The sequence below is a fragment of the Homo sapiens genome, chromosome 4 (assembly GCF_000001405.40).
Source record: "Homo sapiens chromosome 4, GRCh38.p14 Primary Assembly".
In the NCBI taxonomy this organism is placed as follows: Eukaryota; Metazoa; Chordata; class Mammalia; order Primates; family Hominidae; genus Homo; species Homo sapiens.
Genome location: NC_000004.12, coordinates 163,506,530 through 163,521,562, shown reverse-complemented (window position 1 = coordinate 163,521,562; position 15,033 = coordinate 163,506,530). Strand labels below are relative to the sequence as shown.

Genomic DNA, 15,033 nt, shown 5'->3' with positions numbered 1-15,033 from the left:
CTCTGTCACCCAGGTTGGAATGCAGTGGCACAATCTTAGCTCACTGCAGCCTCTGACTCCCGGGTTCAAGCAATTCTCCTGCCTCAGCCACCCCAGTAGCTGGGATTACAGGCATGTAATCACCTGGCAAATTTTTGTATTTTTAGTAGAGATGGGGTTTCACCATGTTGGCTAGGCTGGTCTCGAACTCCTGACCTCAAGTGATCCACCTGCCTCAGCCTCCCAAAGTGCTGGGATTAGAGGCGTGAGCCACCGCACCCAGCCGGTTTTTATATTTTTAGAGGGCGGCAAACAACACACATATGCACACGAATATGCAACAGAAACTACATTTGGCCTATAATGCCTAATATATTAATATTTACTTTCTGGCCTTTTATAAAGAAAAAGTTTGCCAGTCCCTAGTTTACAAAAATAAGTTACCTTTACTTTGTTCCATGGCCATGAACTATAGACGTTGTCTTACAAAAATATGCCACTGACTTAAAAGTGGTCTAGATGAAGGGAGCACAAGTTATCACCCCAGAAAGAACATGTTCAACAGGCAAGGAGTAAGAACATCTTAAGCATCACTCTAAAGACAAGTTATCTCTGAGGCTGCTTTGATCCAACTAGGAGTGACATGATTATTATGGTCCTAAATGTTATATGCATTCATTCAGCAAATACTTACCTAGTTTCCCGGCAGTGTAGCTTGTTAGTTGTAATCTTTGCTTTGACAACACATGGGAAACTAGAAACAAATGTTTAAGAAGGAGGACAATCTGTCACTTTTCACAAGTTATTCATCTAACAGTAGGGGCTTTTAAGTGTCAGTCCAGATAAAGCAGTTCTTATTCTCTTTAATGCAATTTATGACTCAGTTTTTACAACCATTTTAAGACTACGAGCCAAAAGGGAGAGAGAAGGAAACTTTCAGACATTAACTACTCATGGAATCCTAAAACCACACTTTTACACAGATTACTAACTAATCAACATGTTACATCACTAAAAAAAAAAAAAAATTAGGACTGTAAGAAATGAAATTGCAGAAATAAATTTTATTTTTAATTTTCAGAAGTAAAAAAAGTTATAATACTTTAACTGTTAACAAGGCTTAGTTGATATCCAGTTAACCTAATACTGCATTAATGTTTTTATTCTTTTCTTGAAAATACTCAAATACACCTACATTGTGCTCTTTTAAAAAAAAAATAAGGATACTTACATTTAAAAAGTTTTTTGAGGAAGAAAATTGTACAACATTCATGTTTTTCATGACACTGAATGATATATCAATTTATCTCTTAGAAGAAAAAGTAGCATAATTAAAATCACTGGTTCCCTAATCTTCAACTCTCTCTCCACAAATAAAACCTACCTCTTTTCACAATAAAAAAGCAAAAAATAATATACAATCAAAAGGAGCTAAACTGAAACTCTTTATCCCCTTTGTCAAAAGATAAATTAATTGTGGGAGATCAACATAACAATCATCACTGATTTTTTTTCTTTTACCATTTAGCTCTGGTTCAAAAGATAAATAATAATCTATAATCCAGAAATGTATACAAACTTCTTATCACATTTTCCCTTATTCTGTAAAAAAGGAAAATAGGTTTAATGTTTAAAAGAAGCATTAGTGTGATATTATTACCGAAAAACAATTTTGCTATTATCACAGCTCAAAAAGTACCCACAGGAATCTTTCAGGAAACAGGTTACTGTCCATTTCACAAAACGTGAAATTAGGTGATCATAAATACACAAGAAAAACAAAACATTTTTTGTCCTTAGTTATATTGCTCCCTCCCAGCCTGAAATTCAGATGAAGACTAAACAACTTCTGCAGATCACATCTATCTATTTTAGCAACTTAATGGAAATGAAAAGCAATCTTCATTTTAAAATAAGTATCATAACACCATTTTTGAAACGCAAATGAAACTCTCATCATATAAGAGAATGTCAGTATCAAATTTTTGTATCATGACAATTAGGTACCATAATCAATGAATATAATTTGAAGCTCTCAAATTATTTATTTTCAATTCAAGTGAAGACAATTAGGCCACTGCAGTCATTTCCTCATCTGAATCACTTGATTCATCGTTTAGTTCCAATTCCCCCAAATCTTGGTCTACAGTTATAATAGTTTTCCTCTTGCACGTCTTGGGAATTGCATCATTAGCGCAAATTTTTCTCATTTTAATGTTTGGTAATTTCTTCAGATCAAAGTCCCATTCCCTAGACAAAAGGAAAAAAAAAAAAGAGTGCAGAGTGTTGGTAAGAGTTAATGTGGAAAAACAGGAGATAGTAAATTTTCGAAACTCTGAGGATCCTACATATTCAAAACTTCAAAAGCGTTAAAGGAAAATATTAGGCACAAATTACTAGAAAGCTGTTCTATTCTTTCATCCTCTCTAACCTGAGTATCTCCTTCTCTCATGCTACCCAGATCAAGAATTGCAATCAAAAGTAGGAACTGTATCATACCTGACAAATCTCCAAAATACAGTCAGAAGAGGTTTTCCTTTTCACACACAGAAGTACATCCCAGTTAAGTTTCAGTAATCAACTGTTATTCTTATAATGGAAAATTTTCAGTTTTTCAACCTCAGTATTGTATTAATTACTTTAGACGTAATGTGAATATTATTTTGGGAACTGAACTCTTAACCAGAAGGCTATACTCATCTCTTTTCTTGTTTCTGGCTTTGGAGGAGGTAGAAGATATATTGTTTTAGAAATAAAGAGCATATTTATATATTTAAGATTACAGGCAAAATAAAATTAAGGTATAAAAAGAATCTTAACTCCACATACTTAAATTATAAATACATGCTATACATAAGCTCAAAAGTGAACTGCACCTTAAACATGATAGATGAATTCTATTAAAGCTAATTTAGTTTCAATGAATTCAAAAGTATAGACAATGACTGGATTTAAATTTACCTAATTTCAATTAACATTAAATATAAGACCCCTCAACATGGTCTAGTTAAGACCAAAATGATTAATAAAAATCTATGTTTAAAAACTAAAAAACTGCTTGTTGATTCATTTGTTTCTTATAGATTCCAGATATTAGGCCTTTGTTGAATACAAACAATTTGAGAATATTTTCTCCCATTCTATAGGTTGTCTATTTATTCCCTTGACAGTTTATCCTGCTGTGCAGAAATTAGGTCCCATTTGTCAATCTTCGTTTTTACTGCAATTGCTTGAGGACTTAGCCATAAATTTTTTGTCAAGGCTGCTATCAAGAAGGGTATTTACTAGGTTTTCTTCTAGGATTTTTACAGATTATCCTAAGTGAACTAACACAGAAACACAAAACCAAATACTACATGTTCTCACTTATAAGTAGGAGCTAAACATTGGGTACACAAGGTCATAAACAAGGGAACAATAGACACTGGGTAATACAAGTTGGGGGAAGGAAAGGGGTAAGAGCTAAAAACACCACGTACTGGGTGCTATGCTCACTACCTGGGTAGATTCATTCTTACTCCAATCCTCAACATTACACAGTACACCTTTGTAATAAACCTACTCATGTACCTCTGAATTTAAAATCAAAGTTGAAAAAAGAAAAAAAAAAAACCTAAAAAATCGAAATCCTACTCGGTAGTTTCCCAGTTTACAAAAGAGTACAACTAGAAACCACTGGACAAAGCGGGTCTTGATGACTTAACCTGTTCCCTGGAGTCATTCCTATAACCATCTTCTCTGCAAAAGAGGCTGCTACAGAACAGCCTGGGGATATGACTCTGAGCCATCACGTCTGTTGCTGTTACTTCTTTTTTAAAAAAATAAAACTGGGGAGGAATAGTGAGATCACATACTTTGAGGTACTATAACAATGTATCTTAAACCATTTTGAAAAACAAAAAGCACACCAGGTTACCATCCTGTTGGTGCAGATCAACTGTTTGTACGCCCAACTTCAGAAAATTCTTACTTGGTCAGATAAAAAAGAAAAGGTTAAAAGAAACCCGATTTTCTTTTAGTTCTACCGGCTAGACTCAAAGGGGAAGAAAGTTCACCTGTCAGGTACTTTACACACAGCTTCAGGGGAACAATACAAGACAGACTCACCTAAATGTTTTCAGATTACTTGCATTTAGAATGTCTGGAATCTCTGGAAAAGAAAGTAATTTATCTCCATGAGGCAATGTTTTCTAAATCACATAATTTTATGTACAACAAATAATAATTTTTAGCAAGAATATCCAACAGAAAACAAAATTTCGAAGTATTGCTGTAATTAACATGAAAAATTTGCAAAAGGGGTTAGTTTAAGATGACTTAAGAAAAATCCTATTAAATGATAAATTCTAGCATAGAATCCATGAAATAAAACAAAGCTATTAGGCCAGGCGCGGTGGCTCATGCCTGTAATCCCAGCACTTTGGAAGGCTGAGGCAGGTGGATCAGGAGGTCAGGAGATCAAGACCATCCTGGCTAACAAGGTGAAACCCCATCTCTACTGAAAATACAAAAATTAGCCGGGCGTGGTGACGGGCACCTGTAGTCCCAGCTACTCGGGAGGCTGAGGCAGGAGAAAAAAAACAAAACAAAACCAAAGCTATTAACAAAATAAACCCTGTCCTTTTTTAACAATAAAAGGTACCTGGCAAAGTATAACTGTCAATTCACTAAAATAACATGCCAGGTTGTATATTTTTTCTTCGTGAAAAGTACAATGTTTTCAAACGTATAATCTGCCTTCACAAGGTAGAATTTATCTCAGGAATGCAAGAATTAATGTTTAAAAAAATCACATTTTTCCAAATGTGAAAAAAAGACTTTTTTAAATTAAAAAAAAAATTTTGCTTAAAGAAGTTCAATAAAACTTAAATCCATTTTTAATAAAAACCAGGTATATGGTAGTTCTTTACCATATTTCAAAAGTTCCATCATAAACCAATATGCATGATACACTTAAATTGGTGAAATACAAGAGGCATGAACAACAAAAACTGGAAGGCTGCTGCCAATATCTGGCCAATTCAATACAATGTTAAATGAAATTTAGTATCAAGTAATAAAGAAGATAAAATAAGCATGTTTGCTACAACTGTCTATTGACTTTTTCAATAGTTTCAGAGAATAACAGTATGAGGGGCTAGGTGTTAAAAAGTATAAATAAGCACAAAAACAATTTGTAAAGGAATCTTAATGAATCAGAAATAGTTACACCACATAAGGAGGGGAGAGGGGATGGTTCTATCTAGTCTTCTCAAAATCTTATCAAAACAGAATTTGGTGACAATTTCCCCAAAGGGAAACGGACACCTGCAAACTCATCAGAGTCTGTTCATCAGACCCATCCCCTGATTCTGGGAAAAGCACTGCAGCACAGCAGATCTGAGTTTTAGTCCTAGCTGTATCACCAACAAATGGTTTACTTTGGATGTGCTCTGATAAATACTGCCAACTCATCTGGCTGCTACATGTTGAACAGACTTTAGCAGGAAAGAGTGGAGGTACAGAGAGCAACTGGGAGGCTATTACCATAGTACAGGTGAGACGATAGTGGCCTGAACCAGGGAAGTGGGAGATGGTAGTAGTAGTAGTCAAAGTCATCAGATTCTAAACGCTTTGCTGACGGGTTGGATGTGGACTATGAAAGTGACTGTAGAGTTTCTGATCTGAGCAACTGGGCAGGTGGTAATGCCACTGACTGGAATAAGAAACCTGCAGGAGGAGCAAGTTTTAGGAGAAAAGCTGGCCTTTGTTTCATGACATGTCAAGTCTGAGATGCCCAAAAGACATGCAAGTAGAGAGTTTGAGAAATCCATATGTGATACTGCAAATTTGGAGTTCTGGAGACAAGTTAGGGTTGACAAGATCAATGTGAAAGTAATCAGTATTACTATCACGGTAAAAAAGACATGATGTCACATCACTGTCACAAACTTGATAGTTTTGTTGGGAATGTAGGGGAAAAAAAAAGAATCCAAAATTTTTCTAAACCCTCACAAAGAAAAAGACATCAAAGGAAGAAAATCAAATGAAATAAACAAGATCTAAAATAAAACCTTTGAAATCAATCACAAATTGATACTGCTATGTCATATAAAAGGAAAATAAAAAATCAGTGAGCACACCAAGGCCATATCCCTCAAACTGCTGTCGCTCCCGCTCCATCGTCTGCTTGATGACGGTCTCCCGGGAACAGTGCCGCCTCCCCTGCCTGTCCCTGATACTGTTATGTAACTCAATCTGCTCCAGCTCACTGCTGAATCGATTTAAGTACCTGAAAAATACGAAAATGATTTGTGTTACATACAAAGTATATGTATTGGGCTTACATTACTTAATGGAAAACTTAGTATCCAGCCTTCATGTGGCCTTTAAATGTTTATGTTTCTCTGAGTTCCTCAGGTCCTCAAACCTCTTTTACCCATTCCCTGGATAACTCGACCATTTCTTTAACTTCAGTGACCAAATCGCAGCCTTCTATCAAACTGCAGACCCTCACATTCAACCACCATCTCAATCTGGATGTCCCCTAGTGGCTTCACCGTTAGCACATCAAAACTGAACTTGTCATCACCCTGTCCCCACCTACCCCCCACCAAACCCCCTCCATCTCCTGGGTTCCCTATCTCAGGAAACAGTTGTCCAGACGAGGAATCTGATGGCTTCCTTGACTGCTCTCTATCCCTTTTATTCCACACCTAAGTTTTCACTGAACACTGAGACTTCTACCTTCTTAATTTCTTTGGAATCTTTCACTTCTTTATCAGGCTATGAGCCAAGCTGAGGCCACCATCATTTCTGGCCTGGATTGTTACAGCAACCTTTCAACGGTTTCCTGACCAGAGTCATGAACCTCTCAGTCTGTTTTCTTCATTCTCAATGTGTCCCTTCTAATGTTAAGTATGATCATTTCAGTTGCTTGCTGTAAAAGCCTCCTGTGGTTCCTAATGTCCTTGGATAAGGTCCCAACTTTTAGACTGACATCTGAGGTCTTTCATGAGCTAGCTATCACTTATTGTACCTGCCACAGTTCCCTCCTTCAACTTATTTTAGTCATATTAAATGTCTGGCAGATCACTAAATACGTTATCTTCATTCTCACTTCTGGGCATTTTTAAATATTCTTCTTTCTTGCTAGGGGTTTTTCAAACTACCTTGCCTCGATCTGCTAACCCCCACCTTTCAGCTGCCAGTTTAGATGACACTTCTCCAGGAAGCCCATCCTGATCCCAAGAAAGTGGCCTAACTACCACTCTGAGACCCAAATAGGTTACAAACCTCCTATAGTGACTAAGCCAGGAAATAGTCTTCCTGATAACAAAGCCCATTTGCTCTTCTGCAAATCCGTAACAGAGCTCTGTGTCTTAAAGAACCAGGCTGGACAATTCCCTTTTCTGACCCTTTGCTCATAATATGCCCAGTGTTTACCTTTCAATTAGTTCACAAGCATCTTTCTTTGAATATCTCTTTTTTTGGGGATCAAGATGATTTTGAAACCATTGCAGTTTTTCACCTATAAACAACAAGTACCAAGACAGTTTACCCCACAAGTCATCATTTAAGCAAGTAAATATTCATTATCATTTTCAACATTAACGTGTTTAAAACAGAACCAAAATTTATGTCAATGTTAAACATAAAGCCTTGTGTGGGCTCAAAGCTAATTAAACCAGTCTGTCACAAATTAAACTGTCAGATTTTAATTTAGAGAAGAAAGAGGAGTGGGAGGGATGCGCTTCTGTATATATTTCTTATCCAATATGGATGCAAAAAAGGAAAATGATTATTTAGTCGAGCTTGAACTTCTAAGTATTTAAAAGCAAAGGACAGCTTGTCAAAAATAATAAAATGAAAACTCCATTAATGATGAGAATGATATTTGCTGAGTATTTAATAAGCTGTAGGCACTATGTAAATAGCTTTATAATCCCATGAGAATTAGTACTATTATTACCCCCATTTGTAGATGAGAGATGTTAAATGACCTGTCCAGGGCCCCAAAGTTAGCAAATACATTAAGCATATAAGAGCTGCCAGGTACTGTGTAGAGTAATTGATATATATTACCAAAGAGCCAACAAAATTCACCCTTGTGAGTAAACCTGACCGTCAGGGTCACTTTCAGTTAGATTTCTCAAGATTACAGATCAAAAAAAATCACCCGGCCCTGTACAATGAGATCCCATTTAAAAATACTATTCTATTACCTGATGAAGCATTGATGGGAGTTCAAATACCTTTAATTTTAATAAAAGAGCCTAACAGTCAGTATTTAAATCTCAGATTTGTGAGTAAAAAATTATTAGCAATAAATCTGACCAAAAAAACAGTGACATGACACTGAGATACAAACTGAAGATGTGTATGTCCACATCATTAAATAAATATGAATTGTGGTTTCTACCTAGGCCATAATCCTTCATAATTCTAATGGTTAGGGAGGTAGAGTTAAACATCAGATAGATGGACAGATGGATATGAATGTTATGTGTAGACAGGTAGGTAGGTAGATAAATATAAACTAACAGTTTCTGGAAAACTGAGCTAGAAATCATTAACACTGTTTATTCCAAAAGTTTAATGATTGATTTGCTTTGTTTAGATCAAGTCTGATCAAATTCACTTTGATAAAAACAGTATTTCACTAAAAGAGTAAAAAGAAAAACAAGTATAGGGCAGAAATGCCCTATACTCTAGCCAGAGTTTCAAATAAGTAAACCCACTTACCAACAAGGTTGAGACGCAAGGCCTTTTCATTCTTCAATCTTTGAAGGAAAGGTAAATATATGTGTTAGAAAATTTCCAAAGCAAGTTTTAAAACTCTGACAATAACAACGAAAAGAAAAACTGCCTAAAGAACTCTAATTAAAAGGTCATTCTTTTACAAATTTGAGAATAATTTTGTTAACAGAAACATTAAATACTATGCTTCTCTTTTGAATCACTAGAATTTTATCAGAAACTTCCTTTAAGCACCTCAATGTCTAAAGGAAGCCTATAGAACAAACCAGTTTTGAAAACACAACTGAAAGCTTTTCTGAATTGTGAACATTCAGATGGGTTCTGTAATATGCAGAATACTTGAGCACAAGAGTAATGCAAACCTTCTGGAAGACTGAGTACTGCCACCAAGATCAAAATGCACTACTGTCATCTTTTAAATTTCAATAAGAACAAAACAGAATGGTTACTTTCAATGAATTTGAAAAGAATTATAACAAACAAAAATTTCATCTATGCTCAGAAAGTGTATAGGTAACACATGCCTCCTATTACTGATATTCTAAACACTTACTCATTCAGGAGACCTCTGGATACCAAGTCTTTGCCAGACTTTAGTTTCTGATAGCCCCAAAGGATACAGCCATGAACAAAAAAAATTCACTGTCCCTGTCCTGAAAAACCTTAAAATCTAAGGGCAATAAAAACATGGAGAAGCATACAGAGCTATAAAAGCATATTTAAAAAGCACCTACCATATGTTTTAGGATTTGGGAAGGTTTTCCAGAGAAGTAAATTTTAAGCTGAGACCTGAACATACAGAGAAGTTATTCAGGATTAAAAAAAAAAAAAGATAGGGACTACGGGAATGGTAAAAGAAAAATCTTAGCCATAGGAGAAGGCTTTGTATAAAGCAGGAAGTATACATGGCTTTTATCCACAAAGAAGTAAGCAAACCAGATTTATCCTCCCATTTTACACAACTAGAAAACTGGAGAAATAAAATGAAATCTTTTGTTATTATTATCATTATTATCATTAGAGACAGGGCCTCACTGTGTAGCTCGAGCAGGACTGCAGTAGTGCTGTCATTGCTCACCACAGCCTCAAACTCCTGGGCTCAAGCAACCATCCTGCCTCAGCCTCCCATGTAGTTAGGACTACTGTTATATACCACCATGCCTGGCTACTTTTTTTTTTTTTTTTACTTTTATTTTTGTAGAGACAGAGTCTCACTGTGTCACCCAGGCTCGTCTCAAACTCCTGGCCTCAAGCGGTCCTCTCACCTTGGCCTCCCAAAGCACTGGGATTACAAGGATGAGCCACCATACTAGGCCAAAACCTTCTTTATATAAAATTTTTAAGTTACAGATTAGGAGAAAATATTCATAACACAAATAACAAAGGACTTGTATCTAGAATATATAAACAGTCCTTACTACTTAACAACAGATTAACCCAGTACCAAAAAGGCAAAAGATTCGGACAGATTCTCCATCAAGAAAACACAAATGACCAAAAAGAACCTAAAAAGATGCTCAACATCATTAGTCATCAAGAAATGAAAATTAAAACCACACTGAAATACCACTATACACCTACTAGATTGGCTAAAATTAAAGAGAAAAAAAAAACCCTGACAACATAACATGTCAAAGAGGATATACAGCAAATAGAACTCTCATACTCTGGTGGTGAAAATGTAAAATGGTACTATCACTTTGAGAAAGGTAATTTCATATATACTTAAATATACACCAAATGATCCAGCAATTCTTATATACCCAAATTCTCATATACTTAAGCAAACATCTTAAGTGTGTTAACCTAACGTCTTATAAACTGAATTTCTTATAAACTCAAACATCTACCCAACAATTATAGTTCTAGGAAGTAAAAGAAAAATGAAAACGTATGTCCACACAAACACCTGTACATGAATGTTTTACAGGAATGAACTTTATTCCTAACAGCAGAGGTTGACAATATTTTCTTCAATGGTCAAGTAGTCACATTTTAGGCTTTGGGGGCTGTGTACCTGTAACAATTACTCAGCTCTGCCACTGCAGCATGAATGCAGCTATAGAAAACACAAAAGGAACCAGCATTGATGTTTTCCAACAAAACTTTTCGTAATAACAGGTGGCTAATGCCTTAGCTTGCCGACCTCTGATAACAGCCAAAAATGAAAATATAACCAAACGAACATAGACAGTGAATGGATAAGCAAGGTGCATATCCAGTGAATGGATATAAATAAATTGCCTGAGGATGGAATAATACTCCCAATAAAAGGAAAGAACAACTAATACATAAAATGACATGGATAAGTCTCTCAAACATTATGCTACGTGAAAGACGCTGGCACAAAAAACCACATACAGCATGATCCCATTTATATTAAACATTAGAAAGATAAATCTCACCTATCAAAATAAAGAGCAAATTAGTGGCTGCCCGAGGCTAGGGGTAGAGGGTGAGGACTGACTGGGAAGATACACAAGGGAATTTTCTAGGAAGATGAAATTGTATACTACATACTGATCAGGGTGGCTACACCAATGTATACAATTGTCAAAACCCAAAAACTACACTTAAAATGTGTTCGCTTTATTATATATTAATTATACCCCAAAGTTGATCTTAAAAAACAAAGAACACTTCATAAAAAGTTGGAGAATGGCTCTGAGGGGAATTTCTTCCTTTTAAATAAGGCTGGAGGGAAGAATCTAGTTAGAAGTCAAGTTGCAATAATTCTGAATGGACTCAGTGGGAACCTGAACTTACAGTGGTATCAGCTGGAATGAAGAAAAGTAGAGAGATGTGAGAATTATTTAAAACAGTACTTGCATGTAAATATGAAAAAATTCTTAAAACAATATGTAAACATGAGTTTTAAAGAGAATCAATAAGATTAATTCTCAAAGGTAGTTGTTTCTGAGATTCTTACCCATCATGCTTAGTTTCCTTTGTTAATCTTCCATTAGGAGTCATTTTCATTTGCTATCTAGAATTATTTGCCAAAATGTTGCTATACTGTGAAATCATAAAACAAAAATCACATCATATCAAAGAGCCACTTGCTGCTTGTAAATTGTTCATTGTCGGGAATGTGCTAGTCTTCAAACCATCCTAGTTCCTGTCATACAGTCCTAAATCAGAGCTTTTCAAATGTTGAAGATAAAGAATATGCTTGAACTTTTACTCTAGCATTGTTATCCACTCCTACAGTATCTTTTCTGAGGTCTGCCAACAGCCATGTGAGGAAGCTTGGAAGCAGAAATTCTCCCTAGCAAGCTCTGAGATGAATGCAGTCCCAGACAACAGCTTAGCTGCAGGCTTGTGAAAGATGCTGGGTCAGAAACACCCAGTTAAGTGGCAACGGGATTCCTACCTGATCCAGAAACTGTGTTTGTTTTAAGCTGCTAAATTGTAGCAGAATTTCTTATGCAGCAACAGTTACTAAAACAACATCTGGTAACTGCTATTCATTTCTAAGAAGCCACAGGTACCCAAGTTCAAGTTGTCCTGTTGGTACCTTCTTCAATCACCTTGCTTAAAGTTGTCCCAACCATCTGGGTATCTTGTCACCAATCATCTTTTGAAATGGGGCAGGGAATCAGCAGCGTTTCAACGTGCCTTTTGTGACCACATTCCCATTTAAAGTTAAGTATGACTCGTGGTTACTGATGCTGCTACTCAAAAAACTGACATCTATAGTGGCCTAAGCCTATGATTTCATAACATAAAATAATGTTAAGTACTATTAAAATTGTATATTTGGTTCTAGAGCCATGACTACTAAGAGAGTGACTTTTTGAAAATAAATTTTAAAAAGGGAAAAAATCCAATCTATTTAGAACATTGTCTAAGCAGAAAAATTAAGTGCTTTCTACTCTGCATTACTAAAATAAAAGTCTTGGCCAATAAACAGAATTTTCTTAGGACAATATATACATATCAGATTAGCATGTTGTTCTGTTTTATTCTTCCATAATTTTTCTATAACGCTAATTCTGTAAATCAATACACAACATGCTGAATATACCTGACAACATACAAACATTGTAGGCTCACGGTCACAATGACAGTGAACCAAGTACTTAATCATATTCTAAAGCAGTTACTTGCTAAAATATTGCATATCATACCACTGGTACTATATGTAAGGTAAGCAGTTCATAGACACAGAATTAAACAATCTTTAATAAAATGGTAAGCACGTTGCTTCCCCTTCCTCCATTTTCTTTTGATCCTTTCACTTTACATTAAGGACAAAAGTGTGGGTTTGTTTTACCAGTCTTCCAACCTTCACCAGATCTTTTCACCAAACATATACAAAAGTTATGTCTCAGCCTCAGACCATTTACAGCAGGTAATAGTATCTATTTGATTTTAAGAGAGAAAAAATATCTCCTTTTTAAAAAATGGTACTTAAGGGAAAATAAATAATAGTATAGGTCAGTGATTCTCATAGTGTGGTCCCTAAACCAGCAGCAACAGCACCAGCATTACCTGGAGACTTGTTGGAAGTGGAAACCCTTAAGCCAGAAACCCAAACCTTCAGAATAGAAAATTCTAGGGGTTGGAACAAACAGTTTTAATAAGTTCTACAGATGTATTTCATGTACTTAAGTTTGCAAAATACTGATATATATGAGAGCAGAAACTGCAAAATCACAGTACTAATAAATCATATTAAAAAGATACAGCAAAAATCATAAAAGTGATGCATAAATAGCTGAAGTTTGAAAACTACTGTGCTAAAGCAAAACTGCTATCATCACAGTAAATCTTTATGTTGAAAAAAATAAAAAACTACCCTGCAGAAAATAAAGAAAATTTGACTCTGCTATCACAACACTTATTTCCTTCTAGCCAAATCACTGTGAAACAGGTAACCTTTACTATATAAAGCTTATCTTAAGCAAAGAATCAACATTTAAAAATATACTGGCTTCCATTATCTGGTATGCAAATGTATCTAACATTCATGAAAATGGCAAGGGCATTCTAAAATAGTCAAAACGATGATGTTTATTTGAACTTCACTTCATTTTAAGGAATCTTTGAAACAGCCTTCTTTCTCCTCCTTCTCAGTCTCACTTGTGGAATGCTCCTTCTTTTCCTAACCTCTAAATGGTAGAGGGCCACTGAACTCAGTAATTGGCTCTCTTCTCTTTCCTGTCAACAGTTACTCCTTAGGTGAACTGATCCTATCCAGTCTCACGGCTTGAAATCCCACATGGATGCTGATCGCTCCCAAATTTGTGTCAATACCCCTAACCTATTCTCTGAACACTAGACTCAACATATCTAACTATCCATTCCATATCTCCTCTTACATGTCTCATGGGCACTTTAACCTACATGCCTTATATACAGACCTCACATTTTTCAACTCTCTGTTCAAATGTAACTTCTTCAGAGAAGGCTTCCATGACTATCCCACGTAAAACAACTTCTCCCTCACTGTCCATCCCATAACTTTTTAAATTTTTCATGGCACTCATCACCTACTGCTACATAAATTACTTATCTGTTTTAGGTAAGCTCTAAAAGAGTAGAGTCCTTGTTCAGTTTCACCCTCTGCATACAGAACACACTTAATAAATATTTATGAAAGGGAGACAATACTGTGAAAGGATATATGTTTGAAAGATAAAAGTATAAAGGGGCTTTTTACCAACGAGTAATACAAATGATGAAAAGATACTTACTTTTCCTTTTTTTCTTGTTTGTGGGCCTCTCTCGTAATTTGAGCTGCTTTTCTACTATATGGATGGATGACTTTTTTTTCCCGTCCTGCACTTTTTCCCTTTGGTGCTTTGGGCTAAAATGTATGAAAACACATGACACATATAGTCAGATATGTAAGTGCCTTCAGTCCCAAAAATATTCTTTACAAATAAATTTTAAAAACAGTAATATGACAGAAATACAGTAAGCTAAAACTATTACAAGAAAAATCAGGAGATAAGCCAGGATCATTAAATAATTCTAATAATCTGTTGCCATGGTAATGACAGAAACGATATATTCAGAGGTGCTCTCCAATGACAGAAGAAAGGCACAGAAGGAGTCAATAAACTCAGCTCTTCAACAACATGTTCTATCTTCAAAGAAGATACAGGGACTACAGATAGTGAGGAGACTCACAGCCAGAAATTTGTTACAGTTAAGAAAATTAAGGGGTCAGAAGGGACTTGGATTATTAGTAGGGGCTTGATTGTAGATGTTTCACATGGAACAAAGCGGGCAATGAATCATGCAAAATCAAAGCTGGGCTCATTGCCTGTACAAATTAGGAATAGAGAAAATAATAGAAGCCATCTC

The 15,033-nt window shown here is 35.6% G+C and overlaps 1 protein-coding gene across 1 annotated transcript in view; it reads right to left on the bottom strand.

Moving 5' to 3' along the window:
- Positions 1 to 1,023: 1,023 nt before the first annotated feature.
- Positions 1,024 to 15,033, bottom strand: part of TMA16 (translation machinery associated 16 homolog) — a 25,850-nt gene continuing 11,840 nt past the window's right edge. Inside the window, exons 2-7 of the mRNA NM_018352.3 lie at positions 14,418 to 14,530; positions 8,704 to 8,741; positions 7,405 to 7,489; positions 6,102 to 6,250; positions 4,087 to 4,129; positions 1,024 to 2,229 (exon numbers count right to left, since the gene is read on the bottom strand). Of these exons, the coding sequence (NP_060822.2) occupies positions 2,049 to 2,229; positions 4,087 to 4,129; positions 6,102 to 6,250; positions 7,405 to 7,489; positions 8,704 to 8,741; positions 14,418 to 14,530 (609 nt within the window). The 3' untranslated portion in view covers positions 1,024 to 2,048. The remainder of the gene's footprint in view (positions 2,230 to 4,086; positions 4,130 to 6,101; positions 6,251 to 7,404; positions 7,490 to 8,703; positions 8,742 to 14,417; positions 14,531 to 15,033) is intronic.